Source organism: Homo sapiens, chromosome 3 (assembly GCF_000001405.40).
Source record: "Homo sapiens chromosome 3, GRCh38.p14 Primary Assembly".
NCBI lineage: Eukaryota > Metazoa > Chordata > Mammalia > Primates > Hominidae > Homo > Homo sapiens.
In genome coordinates this window covers 124,636,507-124,656,215 of record NC_000003.12, presented here as the reverse complement: position 1 = coordinate 124,656,215, position 19,709 = coordinate 124,636,507, and the positions used below count along the sequence as shown (strand labels likewise).

Sequence of the window (19,709 nt, the reverse complement as noted above, 5' to 3'; positions counted from 1 at the left end):
CCTCTTAAGTGAATCCCTACAGAGCTAGATTTGTTTAATTTACTACCAAGTCGACTCTTAACTGTGGACCTGTCAACCTTGCTCATTGGTGGGTTTTTCTTTTATCTGTCTTTTTGCTAGCTGTAACACTTACCCTTGAAATCTATGGAAATGTATAAGCCCTAAGATCCCACTAAGAATGAACTGTTTTATGCCTATGTGGCTCATAGCTCTGAAGAATATATGTCCACATAGTTAAACATCAAAGAAAAGCTCTTAAGACAATAGCTTGGTCACCTAAAACAAAGTGGAATGAGTTCCACTCTAACCAAGAGGCTCCCCCAAATGCTATAACATTCAGGCCACTACTTCCCTCTAAATATCTTATTTCAAGGGGAAAAGAAAAATATTGCCTACATATTCTACTTATTACCATTTTTATTTTCATTTCTGCAAGTGCTCAGACAGTAAAGTACATGTAACCATCAGATTAAAACACCTTGGCCTAGGTAGGGTCCAACGTGCTCCTGGTTGGGTGACCACAGACCCACCTGGAACCCTCTACTTACCTCCACCACAATGCCCAGATCCTTGACATAGTCTTTCTCTGTCTGTACCAGCTCATTCAGGACAAACCTGAGCAGGAGATTAAGAACAGTGAGTGTTCCTCTTCATTGTTAAGCCAAAAATCTTCACTTAAGTTCACAGAAAAGTTACTTTGGCACCTTTATAACAAGACCCCTTAAAACACCCACACTTATCTCCTGGGAAAGATGCTTACGGATGCTTTCCCTAGAGGAGGCCCTACTGAAGGGCTGAGGACACCAAGGCCAGAAAGGACTTCCCCAGGTGACATACAATAGTCACACGAAAAATGACGCTCAGTACCTAGCATTCTTCTTTCTATTCTTCATGTGTTTCTCCCTCACCTACAACTGAACGATTGTATAGACAGAGGGCAGAAAGATTGACAACCATTTTGGCAAAACTGCGTTCTGAAAGCTTTGAGGCTGGGCAGGGGTTAAGATGAGACTTTTCTTCCTTCATTTCAGCTCCATTCTTCACTTAACAAGAAGAGAAAGACATTTATTTGATTACCAACCTGTAAGTCCTCCAAGACAAGGATAGATATCAAGTGAAGTTTTTAAGATATGGAAGCTGCAATTATTCAGATAGGTATCATGGTAACTGGCCTGGAAAACCCCCAGTCAAGGCCAGAAAGATGGACTGCAGACATTCCAAAATCACACATTTAATGCAGCACTACCTTCTCCAGGATGCAGGATTTAACAATTACAAGGACATTTGCTCTCTTGGTTTCTTTCTTGTTAATTCTTTCTACCATTTACTATGTGCCACTCCCTTCATCTGGGTTTTCCCATGCTTATAATAAGGTAGGTATTGTAAAACCTATTTTATATAAATGAAAATGCAGAGACAGAAAGATTAGGTAACCTGACCATGATTGCAAAGTGAGTAGCAGAGCCAGGATTTGAACCCAGTTGTGCAAGAGTCCAAAGACCATGCTCTTTCCCAGCAGCCCACTGCTTGGTAAACTACTCTGACTGGCTCTTGGGAGTCCTTGAAGCCTCAAACCCAAACACTCTTTCTGTCTTTTGTCCAGACACTAAAGAGCTTTACATAAAATGCTAAAGTTGTGCACAGGGGCAGGGTGGTGCTGTGCAACCTACTGGAGTCAAACTCTTCCAATCTGATTGGAATGAGTTTTGCCTGGGACCACACAATTGCATTTTGGGCACAAGTAGCAGAAATGATAAAGTTCTGAGATGTCAAAGTGGGACCCCAGCACAAGGGTGGTAACCATTTTTAACCCAGGAAGCAATTCATCTGAAACTCTTGCTCCGTATAGCCCCAGAAGCCACCACATTCCTGGAGCCTGGGGCCTCTGGGCAATGGGGAGGAAGCAGAGGAACACATGCTTCTTTATCAGTGCACCCAGCACTTCCAACAGCTCCCTCTCCAGCACAGACAATCATGTGTTTTAGGCCACAGGAAGGAACTGGCAAGGCCAAATGAAAGCATTTAAATATATCTTTACCATGGCCCAAGTTACCGCCTGGTAGAAAGTGGCAAAAGAAAACCCACAGGAAAGTTAGAGTGGGAATATGGGGCTGGGAGGGCCCTCTGGAGATGAAGTCCAGCTCTCTGTCTCCAGGCGATATTTTTATCCTAAGCTATTTGCTGACAGATGAGGGCTATCTTTGGCTTCTCAGCCTTTAGAGAAGGGAACTGTATTAGGTGCTGCTAGTGGACCTGTCATCTCTTCCCTTGAAGGGTTAATGAAGGAGACCATGACGTATTAAAAGACATTCTGAAAAGTGACATCAAGGATTTAAATTGCAGGCATTGCAAGGCAGTGCACAATTAATTGCCAAATGAACTGACAACAAGGCATGTTTTTCATGATAAGTTCTTATTAGTAGAAGTTATTTACAAACAAATGTTATTCTTTGGTCCAACTAAAATTATTTCAGCTACTGGTTAGAACCACTTCTAACCTCCTTTCACAGGGATAGGGAATGGCTGGTCTTCCACAGAAAATCTCTTAGATTCATTGCACTGGCTGTTCTCTCTCTTGAGAACACTTTTTCTCCATGGCTAATTTACCTCCCCCGGTCTTTGTGCAAATGCCAGGGCCATTTAAAATTGCAGCATGGCCTCATTTATTCTCTGGATCTCCCTTACACTGCTCTATTTTTTTTTCTTTTTCTTGTTTCCAACATAATACATAATTTATTTTGTTTATTGTCTGATTTCTCCCACTAGAATTTAAACTTGCCATGAGAGCAAAGACTTATGTTGTTATTATTTGTCTTATTCACTGATGTATCCCACTGATGGTACATACTGGTGTTAGACCAGTATTTGTTGAATGACTAAAACTTGAAGACAAGTAACTCCATTCTCAACTTTTTTCTTCTCCTGGACAAATGACTATTTGTGTTCATCTTTTCTCCACAGAGCTCTCATTTAACCCTTTGACGCCCCACTGCCATCTTCTGGATTGAGTCTTGGTTCGCTACACCCCTCAGCCTCTGGCCTCACATATGGTTTACAGTGAAACACCTATACAACACCCTTTCATCAAGACCATAAAGTACAGCAGGAGAGAATAAGGATGAGATATAGTAAGAGGTATGAGATACTCTAACAGCTGCATTTTCAAGATAGCTCAGGATGTGAAGAGGTGTGGATTTTGGCAAGAATGAGAAGAGGGAGAAGAGATGCGTAAAGTGGGCAAAAGAGACAGCAAACTTTTGTGGCCTGTTGAATCTGGACAATGGCTTAAATGACTGCTCAAAGGCCGGTTCAAGCTACATGCTAAGAGTAGTGACTGGCGGCTGGGTGCGGTGGCTCACGCCTGTAATCCCAGCACTTTGGGAGGCTGAGGCTGGCGGATCACGAGGTCAGGAGATCGAGACCATCCTGGCTAACACGGTGAAACCCCGTCTCTACTAAAAATACAAAAAATTAGCCAGATGCGGTGGCGGGTGCCTGTAGTCCCAGCTACTTTGGGAGGCTGAGGCAGAAGAATGGTGTGAACCCGGGAGGCGGAGCTTGCAGTGAGCCGAGATAGTGCCACTGCACTCTGGCCTGGGCAAAAGAGAGAGACTCCATCTCAAAAAAAAAGAGTAGTGACTGGCTTTTCCCAGGGTCACCTGCCACCTCAGAGGTCACCTTTCTGACTTAAGCTTTGCTTTGACTTGACAAAGGACTAAGACATCAGCTCCAACTTGGCCTCACCTGTGTAACAACAACCTGAGAAGCTAAGGAGACTCAGCTTTGTGCAAGTGCTAGGAAATTTCCCTTTGGGTATGGCATTTATCAACCTCTATTCCATTTACCAACTTCTTGGGGTTCCCCCTGAGTACTCACAAAGCTGAGGGGGTAAATACAGAATTTCAAGATTTACATGCTACTTGTTCATCTCCACTATGAAGTGATAGCCCTGCTTTCAAACCAGGCCTTCACTGTGATGTTCTCACTTTTGTTTCCTAGGAAACAGAAACTCATAAATAGACACTTTGTACATTTCTAGGTAACAGAAGGACCTGGCCTCACTTATTTTTGCTAGTTTTCATGTCTGTGGCTAGGCTAAAGGAGTGATGAATTTGAGAGAGAAAGGCAGGCTAATTAACAACAGGGAGGGACCCTTCACACCTGCCTTCCCAATTCTCACTACTGCTTATAATCTCTCACATGCTGAGCTATGTCTAAGACTCATCAGTAGCTCTGCTTCCAACACAGAGTACAACCCTAAACAAGAAAACAAAAGTTGGCCAAGTGCAGTGGATCCTGCCTGTAATCCCAACACTTTGGGAGGCTGAGACAGGAGGATTACTTGAGCCTAGGAGTCCCAGACCAGCCAGGGCAACCAAGCAAGACTCCATCTCTACAAAAAATAAAATAATTAGCCAGGCATGGTGGCGCACACCTGTAGTCCCAGCTACTTGGGAGGCTGAGGTGAGAGGATCCCTTGAGCCCAGGAGGTCAAAGCTGCAGTGAGCTATGATCATACCACTGTACTTTAGTCTGGGTGACCAAGCAAGACCCTGTCTCAAAAAAAAAAAAAAAAAAGATAGAAAAGAAAAAGAAAATGAAAGTTTTGGAGGAGTTCTGCTTTTGCACTAGTGGTATGTGGTATATTCTTGATCAACTCAAATAACAGATTGACTTCATATCAACATAGGTAACTCTTGCATAACATGGGATTGTTCTGCATTATGAATTTTATTTTACCACTAACTATTCAAAGTGGAGAAGAAGTTCTCTTGGAACTAATCCCAGAAACAGATGCAAAATTAAAACCTTTGGAGAAGGAGTAGAGACAGGACCTGCTTGGTGGTACAACAGCTCCTTCCTCTATATATAACTTTCCTACATTTGGGGAAATGTTTTCTTAGGTGATCTCTATCAGACTATCTGCCACGGTCAGAGACTCTCTGATTCTATAGGCCCTCAGTAACAGTCTCATAGTTTCCTCAACTTTGCCATTTTCCTTTTATCACTATGTTTTAAATTTCTAACAGACCTACAACCACACTTTGTCAGTAATAGCTGCTATCTCACAGAATATACTTTAGCCTAAACTTCAATCAAGTCAGTGCCAAAGTGGCTCAATGTTTATCAGTGCTATGCTGTACAGATCTGAGTCTTAGAATGAAAGATGTCAGTGGAAACAGCGTGGGGAACCCCTCTCGAATTTTCCCCAACCTTTGTCCATTGTCCACCGCACTCACATGTGCACCACAGGGAGGAACTGGGGAAGCCACTTACATCCTGCCTCTCAGGGCCTTGGCTTTCTGTTCTTCTTCTGGGTTTTTAGGAGGTGTGGGTGGGGCCATCCCCTCATTCAGGCAGCCTGCAGGGTCTTTCAAGCTCCCCCGGTATGAGCTTCCTTCTAGACTCTGAAAAGAGAGAAAAACAGGCTTAGAGAAGTGTACTTTGAAAAGTCATTTGGAATCCCTGTGTCCTCCCAGCCTAGCCACAGACAACATGGAAAATCAGTAGCCAAGGCTGTTCTCACCAAACCACAGTGAAGCACTAGCAGACCAGAGACTTTATCCTCCTGCAGCAGGGAGCCCAGAGCTGCCACCTTCTCAGGCAACCAGGATGTACTTGGCATCTATGTGCTGCCAATTTCCCAGACATAATGAAATTGTCAAAGTGACTATCTCTAGTTAAGAGCTCCAGAGGTAATGCTAACGATCGCAATTCTATACCAAATATGCAGTTACAAAAGAAAACAAGTGAAAAGGGTGAATATGGTACTCCAGAGGGAACTAAGGGTAAAAGAACCTAAATTTGAATCCCAGACCTGCTAGTCACTGAATGATTTATGTGAGATAGCTAAAATTGTTCCATGCTTCAGTTTTTCTCAGTTTTCAAATTAAATCTTCCCTCTCTACAGATTTCTAAGGAATAGGCCGAGATAATAGCTGTACAACCCCTTTGAAAAGTTAAAAATGTCCTATGATGATGGGGTTTTCCCCTGTCCCCATGGATGGAACTGTTAACGATAAAAATATTCAAAATGGAGTCAATCTTAACACTTTTACAAGTGTCCTGGAAGAAGGATTACACAGTGACATTTAGCATTTCATTATGCAAATTGGCAGAAGTAGTGTGGATACACAGTGAGGCTGGAGAGTAAGGTCAAGTTGGGCAACTGTAAAACAAATAATGAGAGACTAATCTAAGGCTATTCTTTATTATTATTATTATTATTATTATTATTATTATTATTATTTTATTTTAGAGACAGGGTCTCACTATGTTGCCCAGGCTGGTCTTGAACTCCTGGGCTCAAGTGATCTTCCCGCTTCAGTCTCCCAAAGTGTTGGGGTTACAAGCATGAGCCAATGCACCCAGCCATAATATCTATCTATCTATCTATCTATCTATCTATCTATCTATCTATCTATTTTGAGACAGGGTCTCACTCTATTGCCCAGTCTGGAGTACAGTGGTGCAATCATGGCTCACTGCAGCCTTGACCTCCTAGGCTCAAGCAATCCTCTCACCTCAGCCTCCCAAATAACTGGGACAGTCATGCACCACCATATCCAGCTAATCTTTTTTGTTTGTTTGTTTGTTTGTTTGTTTAAGAGACTGGGTCTCATTACATTGCCCAGGCTGGTCTTGAACTCCTGGGCTCAAGTGATACTCCCACCTCAGCCTCTCAAAATGCTGGGATTACAGGTGTGAGACAGCGTGTCTGGCCCTAAACTGCTCTTACAAGATGCCTGCCTAAACCAGCTACTGCAGCTAACAGAAACAGTTTCATTTAGTAGTTTTTGAAAACATTAGCCCTAAGGTTAAAGTCACAAAGATTTAAAAAAATGCAGTCCAAAAAGGTAGGAATGAAAGGCTTCAGCTTGGCCTTCAGTGAGCTGCACTTGGAGTATTGTCATGATGCTCTCAGTTGCTCTATTTTAACATAGGCTAAACAGGTAGAACAGAAAGGTCCAGAGAAATAAATCAAAAACTAATGAGGTTCCTGATGGTCCATTTTATAAGAAAAGATGGAGAATATGAAGATTTGAATCTGAAAAACATAACACTAAGCAGATATCAAACCTTCCATTCCCCCACCCCCAAACTGACAAAATGTGCCAAGGGCTAAACATGAATTTGTTACCAACACTAGAAACTGGAACTAAGAGGACAGGGTCTTCAAACTCAAGAGAGAATTTCTTTTAACTTGAGATAAAAGTATTCACAGAACAAGTAATCAGCCATGGAAGTTGTTATATCCAGAGCAGCAGTATAGGCTAAAAATATGGAAAGGTCAAGAAGGGTTTAGCTCAATTTATAGATACAGGATCTGTAACCTGTTATTAAGGAAATGAGAGTGTCTGGTGCTGAGGCTTGACAACCAAGCACACAGGCAGGCATTCCAATGACATGTCTCCTGGTGCCATCACCAGAGACAGGCTCCTGGGCAGATGGGCCCAGCTGGTGATTGATCTGATTACATGCCTTTTACTTCCTCTTCTCTCCTTCTCCCCATTGTCCTGTTTCAGCCTTTGTTCTGCAGCCTGTTGAGTGGTAGCATGGTGACTGCAACGCCTGGGAAACAAGCCTTGGTTTATAGGCTCGCTTGACCATTAGATGCTGCTGAAGTTCATTCACAGTTCCATCCCTTTGCCCTTAGAAGAAATGAATGTTTTCCTCTAGTGAATTGCTGCTCAGTGGTATCCTCTGTGCTCCTACCCCTTCCCAGGGAGACACCTCTGCCCACGGGCACTCCCATGGAGCATCCAGCTTTGTGTGGTCCACTCTCAACCTTTCTACAGAACAAAGAACATCTGAGGAGTCCATTATGTCAAATGGGGAAATACTTCCATCTCCTCCTACCTGACCTGTTCTATAAGCAAAGTAGCCCAGGCTATCTCTAGGGGAGGACTCTCTGGGATGGCAACAGTGAGAGACAAGGACAAGAGGAAGAAAGAATTTGGCTAAAGCTATATGCTAGATAGTCTGCCTAAAACAATGGGTTTGATTTTAATGCTTGTAATAATTCAAGAGTGATGGCCTCTGAAGACCTAGCTACCTATGCTAGAGTTGGGATACTGAGCCCCAGCTAAGGGCAACTAGGGTTGACCTAAAATTCTCTGTTCTGCTCCTGGGAGAAAACAGGCAGTGGTGGCCAGGTTTCTGCCACAGTGAGGACTTATGCCCCACCTGGAGCTCAGGGCACAAATAGTCTCAGAGGACAAAGGAAAAGGTACATGGGGATAGAGCAACAAATGTTCCCATAGTCAATCCAAGGATGGGGAATAGAAATGCAAATAGATTCAAATATGTGACGAAGTGTGGAGGAAGGTCATCCCCATATTTAAAATGAACACATTTCCTGGGCGCTGGATCTGGGATCATATACTCATAACCTGCCCCCTCTCTGGGCACCTATAGACACTCTTTACATACTCCCTGCATGGCTTTCATCACATAGTATTGTAACCACTGGTTTGAATTCAGGAAAATATTTATTGAACATCTACTACATGCTAAATATTTGCAAAGTGCTGGAGAAATGAGGATGAATAAGACAAAGCTCCCTGGCCTCCATAATCTAAGCCAAAATGGGCACTCTTGTAGAGACACAGGGTACAATGGAGGGTGAACAAAAGGAGCAGGTGGCTCTATGGTGGGATGGAGAAGGAAAGACTTAATGGAAGAGGCAATGCTTGAACTGAGAATGGATAAATAGGAGACTTTCACTGGATATGCCAATGGGAGGACATTCCAGGCAGGAGCAGCATTGTGAGTATAGGGTGAAAGAACAAATGACATGGGGGCAGCCTGGGAAGCTGAAAGTAGCCTGGTGTGGGCAGAGTACAGAGTGTGAGGGAAGGAGGGTGGCAAGTAACTGTGTGTTTTGTGAGTCTGGGTGAGTAGGTATTAAAGGAAGAGGGGATGAGGAGTGAAAACAGAATCCTGGAGAAGTTTGCAGGGATCAGATCATAAGGAACCTGTCTGCATGGTATTAAGAAGTAGAGACTTGGCCGGGAATGGTGGCTCACGCCTGTAATGCCAGCAGTTTGGGAGGCTGTGGTGAGAGGGTCATTTGAGCTCAGGAGTTTGAACCGAGCCTGGGCAACATAGTGAGACCCCCATCTCTATTAAATAAAAAAATTAAAATTAAAATTAAAATAAAGAAGTAGAAACTTTACCTTCTAAGACCAATGATGGAAGGGTTGTAAGCAGGGAAATAGCATGTTTTGATTTAAGACTTAGAAATGTCAGTCTTAACGTTCCAAAGATATTTTCATAATTTGGGACAATGTCTCTGATGTGATAGTAAAGAGAAACAGAACTTAAATTTTAAGTACTCTGTGATTAACTATACTATTTTTAAAAGGGTCTAGAAGAAAACATATCAAAATTTCAATACTGAATATGTCTAGATGATGATTTATGTTTATACTCGTCATTTTTCCAAATTTTTTTGAATAAGCATATATTTCTTATATTCGTCAGAAAAGAACTATTAATTAAAAAAAAAAAAAATGGAAAAGAGGCCGGGCGCAGTGGCTCATGCCCGTAATCCCAACACTTTGGGAGGCCGAGGGGGGCAGATAACCTGAGGTCAGGAGTTCAAAACCAGCTTGGCCAACATGGTGAAACCCCATCTCTACTAAAAATACAAAAACTAGTCAGATGTGGTGGCACATGCCTGTAGTCCCAGCTACTCGGGAGGCTGAGGTAGGAGAATCACTTGGACCTGGGAGGTGGAGGTTGCAGTGAGCCGAGATCATGCCACTGCACTCCAGACTGGGTGACACAGCAAGGCTCTGTCTCAAAAAAAAAAAAAAAAAGTAAACAAAAGATCCCTCTAGCAGTCACATAGAGAGATGTCGGACTAAAATCTAAGAGGAAATGATTTCCAACAGTCCAGGGAGGAGAGGATTTTAAGCATTAACCCTAGAGACTGCGAGCTCCATATAAGGAAAATTCTGTGCTTGATTCCAAAGCCTGGTGTACAGGAGGACTCCAAGAATTTATTAAATATGCTATGTAACTTGGGAAGAGATCAAAGCTCATGTGATGAGACAATGGGTAAGCTAGCTGGTCCAGTGCCACCTACCACACCAACCAATCACCTCTTAGTTGCTCCTCTTTGATAAAAATTTGCATATCACAACTGTTAGGATGGCTATTAAGAACAAAATAAGAGATCAGGGTCCGATTCCCAGACAGGGAGGCAGCAAAAAAATAAAAATAAAAATGAAAAATAAGAGATAACAAATGTTGGCAAGGGTGTGAATAAAAGGGAGCCCTGGTACGTGTTGGTGGGAATGTAGACTTATGTAGACATTTTGGAAAACAGTAGGGAGGTTCCCAAATAAATTAAGAATAGAATTATCATATGACCCAATAATCCCTCTTCTGGGTATATACGCAAAGGTAATGAAGTCAGCTTTTCTTAAGACATCTGCACCCCCATGTTCATTGCAGTATTATTTACAATAGTATGCTATGGAAACCCCTAAGTGTTATTGATGGACAAATGGTTAAAGAAACTGTGATACACACACACACACACGCACAGAGAGAGAGAGAGAGAGAGAGAGAGAGAGAGAAATATTATTCAGCCTTAAAACACAAGCAGTGGGGAAAGGATTCCCTATGTAATAAATGGTGTTGGGAAAACTGGCTAGCCATATGCAGAAAACTGAAAGTGGACCCCTTCCTTACACCTTAAACAAAACTTAACTCAAGATGTATTAAAGACTTAAACATTTTTAAAACCTAAAACCTAAAAACCCTAGAAGAAAACCTAGGCAATACCATTCAGGACATAGGCATGGGCAAAGACTATGATTAAAATACCAAAAGCAATGGCAACAAAAGCCAAAATTGACAAATGGGATCTAATTAAACTAAAGAGCTTCTGCACAGCAAAAGAAACTATCATCAGAGTGAACAGGCAAGCTATAGAATGGGAGAAAATTTTTGCAATCTATCCATCTGACAAAGGGCTAATATCCAGAATCTACAAAGAACTTAAACAAATTTACAAGAAACAAACAAACGACCCCATCAAAAAGTGGGCAAAGGATATGAACAGACACTTATCAAAAGAAGACATTTATGCAGCCAACAGACACATGAAAAAAAGCTCATCACCACTGGTTACTAGAGAAATGCAAATCAAAACCACAATAAGATACCATCTCACGCCAGTTAGAATGGCGATCATCAAAAAGTCAGGAAACAACAGATCCTGGAGAGAATGTGGAGAAACAGGAACACTTTTACACTGTTGGTGGGAGTGCAAATTAGTTCAACCATTGTGGAAGACAGTGTGGTGATTCCTCAAGGATCTAGAACCAGGAATACCATTTGACCCAACAATCCCATTACTGGGTATATACCCAAAGGATTACAAATCATTCTACTATAAAGACACATGAACACGTATGTTTATTGCAGCACTGTTCACAATAACAAAGACTTGGAACCAACCCAAATGCCCATCAATGATAGACTGGATAAAGAAAATGTGGCACATATACACCATGGAATACTATGCAGTTGTAAAAAAGGATGAGTTCATGTCCTTTGCGGGGACATGGAGGAAGCTGGAAACCATCATTCTCACCAAACTAACACAGGAACAGAAAACCAAACACTGCATGTTCTCACTCATAAGTGGGAGTTGAACAATGAGAACACATAGACACAGGGAGGGGAACATCACACACTGGGGCCTGTCTGGGGGTTGGGGGCTAGGGGAAGGATAGCATTAGGAGAAATACCTAATGTAGATGATGGGTTGATGGGTGCAGCAAACCACCATGACACGTGTATACCTATGTAATAAACCTGCACGCTCTGCACATGTATCCTGGAACTTAAAGTATAAAAAAAAATTTTAAAAAAAGATCCTGCCATTTGCCACAACACAGATGGACCTGAAGGACATGATGCTGAGTGAAATAAGCCAGATACAGAAAGAAAAATATTGCATGATCTCATTTATATGTGGAATATTTTTTTAAAAGGTCAAAATATACACAAAAATATACACGGATAGAAAATAAAACAGTAGTTACCAGCAAAGTGGAGAAGGCAGCTAGGAAACCGGGACATGTAGGTCAAAGGATACAAAGTAGCAAATCTGTAGCATGAACAGGTCTAGAGACCTAATCTACATGAGGATTATCATTAATAAAATTGTATTTGGAATTTTTGTTAAATAAGTACATTTAGCTACTCTTTAGGTACTAATTTAGACTTCCACCAAAATTTTATTTAACTAATTAAAATATAAATTTTAGCTACTTTTGTCACACATACTCAAAAAAGTAACTGTGTGACATGATAGATATGTTAATTTGCTTCACTACAGTAACCATTCTACTATCTATGGGTATCTCATAACATCATGTTGTAAACCTCAAATATACACAATAAAATATATGTAAAAAAATAACATATGGCTGTGGCTGTCACTTTGGGAGGCTGAAGTGGGAGGATTGCTTGAGCTCAGGTTCAACGCCAGTCTGGGCAACAAAGCGAGACCTCATCTCTGCTAAAAATAGAAAAATTTAAAAATCAGCCAGGCATGGCGACACATGCCCATAGTCCCACCTACTCAGGAGGTTGAAGTGAAAAGATTGCTTGAGCCCAGGAGATCAAAGCTGCAGTGAGCCGAGATCAAGCCACTGCACTCCAGTCTGGGCGACAGAGTGAGACCCTGTGTCAAAAAAACCGAACAACAACAAAATCCTTAAGTAATATTCTCTGGACAAAAAGCATGAGATCTAAGTAATTCCTAGGCAAACTGTTGGGGGGTGTAGGGACAATACACAGTTGAAAAGCTTAAGTCTGGATTTTCCAGGCCAATGACATTTCAGATTTGTAACTGGGCTAAAAAAAAAATTTTGTGGAGGCTGGGCATGGTGGCTCACACCTGCAATCCTGGCACTTTGGGAGGCCATTGCAGGAGAATTGCTTGAGGCTAGGAATTTGAGACCAGCCCGGGCAACAAAGTCAGACCCTGCCTCCACAAAACAAAAACAAAAACAAACAAACAAAAAATGGTGGAAATCTAAACTTTTACCTTCTTACAAGAACCTCAGTAATTGGCCTGGTGTGGTGGCTGATGCCTGTAATCCCAGCACTTTGGGAGGCCGAGGCAGGCGGATCACGTGAGGTTGAGAGTTCAAGACCAGCCTGACCAACATGGAGAAACCCTGTCTCTACTAAAAGTACAAAATTAGCTTGGTGTGGTGGCGCATGCCTGTTAATCCCAGCTACTCAGGTGGCTGAGGCAGAAGAATAGCTTGAACCCGGGAGGCGGAGGTTGCAGTGAGCCATGATCACGCCATTGCACTCCAGCCTCGGCAACAAGAAACAAGAGCAAAACTCCGTCTCAAAAAAAAAAAAAAAAAAAACGAGGCTTGGGAATCTCTTCCACAGAAGCATGCTAGAAGAACCCAGTCCCTGGAAACATACACCTCTGCAATGGATATGATGAGGCCATTATTTTTTCCCCATCTGGATTCTGAACTTTTGCTAACTCCACCCGGCTATTGACAAAACAAGTTAATTCTTCTAAAGGGGGGCAAAGCACACACACAAATACAGCCTGGCTGTGGCCATGTTCTTCCATGACCCACAAGGCTGGCCCAAGGAGGAGATGAATGCTGTCAAAATAGGAGAACCAGAGGGTGGAAAGTCTTGCTGAAGCAGGTAGGGCACATTCTCAGGGTGCCAGGCCACCAAGTAGACTAAATAGGAGTTCAGTCCTGGCCAGTCTCTTCCCTAAAGGCAGAGGATTATTAGCCAGGGTCCACTAGGGCCATCCTGAGCCCAGTGAACTACGCTAGTGTGCCACCCAATGACGAGCTCAGAAAGGGGCTTTCTTTTCTTTTCTATCTCTCTCTCTCTCTCTCTTTTAATTTTTTGTTTTTCTGTAGAGACAGTCTTGCTTTGTCACCCCAGGCTGGAGTGCAGTGGCGCGATCTCGGCTCACTGCAACCTCTGCCTCCCGAGTTCAAGCGATTCTTATGCCTCAGCCTCCGGAGTAGCTGGGATTACAGGCGCATGCCACCACGCCCATCTAATTTCTTTTGTATTTTACTAGATATGGGGTTTCACCGTGTTGCCTAGGCTGGTCTTGAACTCCTAAGCTCAGGCAATCTGCCCGCTTTGGCCTCCCAAAGTGCTAGGAGTACAGGTGTGAGCCACCACACTTGGCCTAGGGGCTTTCTTTCCAGAGGCTTGGTCTTTCATGCCAGGAAGATAGTAGAATTCTGGGGCTCCAGGACTTCAGTTTAGAGATACACTAGATTCTCACATGGCCAGGAAGCTCTTGTTTCTCAAACTTGGGAAATAAAACCAAATTGTATAGACTGTCAAACTATTACCCTGCAACATTCACCCAACCAATCTATTGCTGGCAAATACTAAGTTTCCATGTGCCCAGCTTCATACCAAGCTACAGGAGATAAGGATGACACAGTTCCCTTTCCCTGTCCTTCACAAGGCAGTCGAGGTGGCTAAGAACTAACATTTGTAGATGCTTGATTATCAGTTTACAAAGCCCATTCATGCCTACTCAATTATCATCATAACTCTGTTGGGATTAGATTTGAATAGACAGAATCAGCATCACTAATAAGTGAGGTAAAAGAGAACCCCAAGTAGACTAAGTAATTTTCCCAGGACTATACAGTAGATAGCAGAGGCAGGACTAAATCCTAGGTCTTCTGATTCCTTACACAGTCACTGCCAGCAGCAACAGTCCACACGTCTAGAAAAGGCTTTATTAAAAATCACACAGTGAAAGCAGGGGGAGCCCTATTCCTGGCTCAAAGATAATCCCTTAATGCAAAACCCAGAAAAAGTGTGTTAGTTCTATCTGGGGAGATGGGTGAGCATCTTTCTTAATAAACAAAAGCACGAATTAAAGACCAAGGCTGATAGCAAGACCACAGAAGGGCCCATTAATGTCCAGAAGGACTCATGGGTGGGTGGTGACTCTTCGGGAGTTTTATCTGCACTGCAGATAAACCCTGTTTTTGTTCCTTAACAGTAGGTCTTGTGCAGCAGAGATCCTAACTCACCGAGGCAGAAGCTTTGGTATAACAAATGACCAAGTGACCATAAAGCACCAGGGGCAGCTCTGGGAGATAGGAACATGGGGGATCTCATGGCCTTTGGGTGGAGCCAGGGAGCCAAACGAATTCTAAAGCAGAATTCCGTGCCGCGGCTTGAGCAACCAATAAAGCGGAAAGACTTTAAGGACTCAGTAAAGTCCAAGAATACCAGATGCTCCTGTAAGATGGAATTGAACTCTGTAAAGTGGAAAGAACTTTATTAGTTCTTCCTCATATGGAACGAAGAAAACTCCCACCCACAGGTCTAGATTCTGCCCTCTGGGGTAATAAAGAGTTAGTTGCTCTTTGCAACCTCATTCCCATGGCAGTGCTTCAATTACTAGAAGACAGCTCTCATGTGTCTTCTCCTAACTTCTCCCCATAGTTAACCTTGGTTTCCTCAACTTTCCTTCAAATTACATGGACCACATGGTTTGGTTACCTCCTCTGGGCCCCTCCAGTTTGTTCAAGAACATTGTAGAAGGTTGCATTTAGAATAGAATAATAGAATGCATTGGCTGGGCGTGGTGGCTCATGACTGTAATCCCAGCATTTTGGGAGGCTGAGGTGGGTGGATTACTGTGGTTAGGAGTTTGAGACCAGCCTGGCCAACATGGTGAAACCCTGTGTCTACTAAAAATACAAAAATTAGCCAGGCATGGTGGTGTGCCTGCAATCCCAGCTACTCAGGAGGCTGAGGCATGAGAATCACTTGAACCTGGGAGGTGGAGGTTGCAGAGAACCGAGATCATGCCGCTGCACTCCAGCCTGGGCGACAGAGTGAGACTCTGTCTCAAAAAAAAAAAAAAAAAAGAAAGAAAGAATCGAATGCATTAGTCACACACAGCTCATGATGTGTATGGTTTGAATACCTTTGAATACTATTGCTTCTTTTGATCTGTACATTGTACTTTCATTAACCAAGCCTGTGATAATACTCACTATCTTCGCAGCTATCACACAGTTGTACTTAGTCAAATAAATACTCCAGAGCTTTTATGAGCTCTGAATCTTTTCTTCTTCTAAGCGGAAGAACTGATAAGGAATAGGACTAAGAGTCTCGAAGGTGAAAATGCAACTTAGTGCTCCCAAGCATGGCTGAGATATTCTCAACCTAGTATTGTTACATTGCTACCACATGTGGGAAGGGGAGAAAGAGAAAGTGGTGGAAAGGACCAAGAATCAAATTTTGGTAGGAAGATTCTAAGAAACCAAACCACGGCTTCCTCTTTCCTTTCTGTGACGTGAGCTTGGTTTTACATGTTAAGCCAAAGATAGCTCTAATTCTGGGCTTACTGTAGGTCCTCAAGAGTAGTTATTGCTGGAAGAAGTTATATCCTTCATTATGGCACACTCACCACAGAAAGGACATTCATTCAACAGACATTTATTGAGAGCCTATAATAAAGCCAATCAACACCAATGCCATCCCACATCCCCTCTTCTCTAGAAAATTTGCTGTGATGGGACTTTTCTATGTCTTTGCTTACATGTTTAACACCATCGATCACACAAATTAGTGGTCTGGAGACTGTCAGCAGTGCAAAGCTTAGCAGTAGTAGTGGGCAAAAAGGTAATCCAAAATATAAAAATAGACTCTGGAAACAAGTGTTCATGAAAAACCCACTAAGTGTAAAAGACTTTTTTATACTAATAGAGCAAAAAATAATAATATCCTAAATGACTTACCATCTAGCTAGGGAGGTAAAACGCAAATGAAATCATTACGATATTTTAACAAATTACACCACAGAGCTGCTTAAGAGCTGTCCCAGGCAGTATGTGGCTTTAGTAATTACCATGGGATTATAATGGAAATTTGGCCTGGGCTGGTCAGAGAAGCCCTTGTAGAGGAGGAGATCTGAGTAGGACCCTGAATGACCACTATGCTCTAGATAAGCAAACATAAGAGGGAGAACATTCCAGAGAAATGGGGCCATATGAACAAAAACTTGGAGGGAAGAAAGCCAAGTGTGAGTTCGAGGATAGCAAAGAAAACAATTTGTTTGGAACAGAGTTCAACAACCAAATAAATAACTAGATGGTGGAAAGGTAGGTTGGAGAACAGGCTACAAAAATATCAGAATATTAGGTAAGTGTGGACTTTATGTATAGGCCAGTGATTCCCAAACTTTGATTATATATCTCTGTCACTGAAAATAATTTTGCTCGTGTACCCCCAAACATGTAACTTGTTTATAAATTCTATATTTATGCTACTGTACTATCATTATATACATAAGAAAACACACACAAAACCATTTTAAAATGATATAAAGAGGCTCTAATATTTTCTTCCCATACCCCAGTAAGTTGTCTTATGTACCTGAGGGCACCCCCCCATTGGAGACCACTGCTTATGTAGCCAAGAGGGAGGCAATAAGCAGTGTTTACAGAAGACCAATTGGGTGTGAAGGCAGACTTAGCAGAGAAAAGGCAGGCAATGGCTACTGCAATACTCCAGGAATGAATTCAGGGCCCATGCTCAGATGGTAAAAGAAAAAATGCAAAAAAGAAAGAAAAAGGATGACTTTAAGAAAAAAATTAAATACAGCATTTGTAGAATGAAGAGGGTATATAGGTTGGTGTGGAGAGGGAGAGCAAGTGAGAAGCAGTCAGAGAGGGGTCTTTGAAAGTCAATGTAGTGCCCAGAAGAGTACTTAACTCCTGCTGGTAGGAAAAGGAAAGATGGCAGGAAAATAGACGATTTTCAGGAGTTTGACACTAGGTACTGAAAACAGCAGGTTTTTGTTTTTTTTTTTTTAATTAGAAAGGAAAATTTAGCAGGAAAAGAATAAACTCATATGTATTAAACCTCATTCATATAGTATATGCTGGGATATCTGAAAAGGGAGTTACTATAGTCAAAATTATTAGGTAGCTTTCCATAGAGAGCATCCATCATTTTCCTCTAGCTCCTGGGCCAAGTGATTAATAAGACTGCCCAATAGAAGTCTGGCAGAAGCACAGACATTTATCCTAATGAGAATTGCAGGAAAAGCTAAATGGGTGATATGGATGAGAGTGAAAGAAAGGAAAATGCTTCCAATTGTCATCCTGTGGTGATACACTTAAATGTAAAAACAGGAGAGTGGAGGAACAGCTCCATCCTAATGAGCTATCCAAAAAGGGGCCCTTTCACCAGCATTATGCCAAAACCCCAAACCTGCTCAGACTCATCACCTATCCCTCCAACGGGCTGATGGGTCCATGAGACAGTCACAGGCTAGACAGGCTGCCAGTGGCTTATGTTCAGTTTTTCCCCCCATTGTAGGGCTAGGCACTGACTCTCTTAATTTATTGTGGTGAGGTATCCACACACTTTTGCCCATTCCCCTTTATAATCAGCAGTCTACTTTTGAAAGACTTTGCACGCTGGAAGGCTACCCAAGTCCCCATAAAATTTCCTAGTGCTGTCAAATATCCAATCAGTGTGTTCTGGGTCTCAGCATCGCGGTGTACTAGCTTCTGGGCTAACCAAATACATATCAATCACTGACTGAATGCCACTTGCCTGTGGGCCGCTGGATCAGGCTTGCAATGAGGTGAGTTTGTCTTGAATAGTTTTCAACTTTCATCAACACTGCAGCCCCCAAATGATGTATTAATTCCCTATACCCATTCCCAAACAAAGTCAAAAAGGACTCTGGGGTACAGCTTTTTAGAAACCATCATTAGCTGCAATCACATAGGAAGAATGAGGACAGGTGCAAAGGAGAAAACGGCAGACAGATGCAAGCCTGGAGCAGTGTGAAGGTGAGACACACACAGAACTGCCTCCAGGACCCCCACTTACCAGCTTGTTTTTGACCAACTTTTCTATTGCATTGACAAGGTCTGCAGCAGTAGGTACTTCAGTGGAAGCCTGCCGGGCTGCTAGCAAAGAGGAGGACTGCAAGACATCGGGCAGCAGAGGAAAAGCAGATTAGCAAAGAATAAGGAACAGTGATCAGGAAATAAAACAGAAAGTCCAAAGCTCAAGCCAGGGAAGGGAAGCAAAGTTCTGTGTTTAGACGGAAGAGGTGACAGAGGGAGAAGAGTGTGGGTGTAATACATACAGGCCTGCCCAACCCCTTATTAGGAATTCTAGCCAGCAGCAAATGGATGGTACTAGGCTATCCTTAGGCAAGCCTATGAAGGAGGGGAGAGGAGAAATCACTGACTTCCTGGGAGGCCTACAGACTAGTGTTGTACCTACTGACAGCAACAGCTTGGAGGGCGGGGGCTACTGCTCTGTGGGCAAACGAGACTTTGGCCACTACACAGCTGCCCGTTGCTGTTTTGGGGTGTGAAGGATTCAACAAACCCAGCCTTGAGTGTGTCCAAAAAAGGGAAACAGTCCTTGCTTTACTACAGCCTTAGATATAGATCTTTATTATGTGTCCAGCAAAAATGCTAGGGGCAGGACCCTTAGAGACCAGCAAGCTAGATACTCCCTTCCTATATTCTCTCCCTCTGTCTTCCTCTCCCGCTCTGCCCCTGACACACATACACCCTTACCCCTCCACAAAGCATAGCTGGCTCTGGTAAGGCCCCTGAACTGGAACACTAGGAAGTAATAAAAGGCTTTAGCAGGAGTCCTGAAGCAGCTAG

At 42.7% G+C, this 19,709-nt stretch overlaps 1 protein-coding gene across 34 annotated transcripts in view, besides 2 other annotated features; it reads right to left on the bottom strand.

The window, feature by feature from the left end:
* The window catches only part of KALRN (kalirin RhoGEF kinase), a 692,957-nt gene that overhangs the window by 70,110 nt on the left and 603,138 nt on the right, over positions 1-19,709 (bottom strand). For 23 of the 34 annotated variants that reach the window (XM_006713810.4, XM_017007429.2, XM_011513279.3 and 20 more), the window contains 3 exons: positions 18,913-19,008; positions 5,278-5,408; positions 549-615 (listed from right to left, as the gene is read on the bottom strand). In XM_006713810.4, coding sequence (XP_006713873.1) covers positions 549-615; positions 5,278-5,408; positions 18,913-19,008 — 294 coding nt within the window. The remainder of the gene's footprint in view (positions 1-548; positions 616-5,277; positions 5,409-18,912; positions 19,009-19,709) is intronic. The other 11 variants (XM_006713814.4, XM_047449158.1, XM_017007430.2 and 8 more) reach the window with 1 other exon arrangement.
* Positions 12,602-12,651: an enhancer, noted in NCBI's record as "active region_20401". NCBI's record gives its function as "activates an Ori minimal core promoter by ATAC-STARR-seq in GM12878 lymphoblastoid cells {active_cell/tissue: GM12878}" and the evidence as "EXISTENCE:reporter gene assay evidence [ECO:0000049][PMID:35858748]".
* Positions 17,452-18,046: an enhancer, noted in NCBI's record as "OCT4-NANOG-H3K4me1 hESC enhancer chr3:124357017-124357611 (GRCh37/hg19 assembly coordinates)". NCBI's record gives its function as "activates a minimal SCP1, AML or CMV promoter by ChIP-STARR-seq in primed H9 embryonic stem cells {active_cell/tissue: H9 hESC(primed)}" and the evidence as "EXISTENCE:reporter gene assay evidence [ECO:0000049][PMID:30033119]".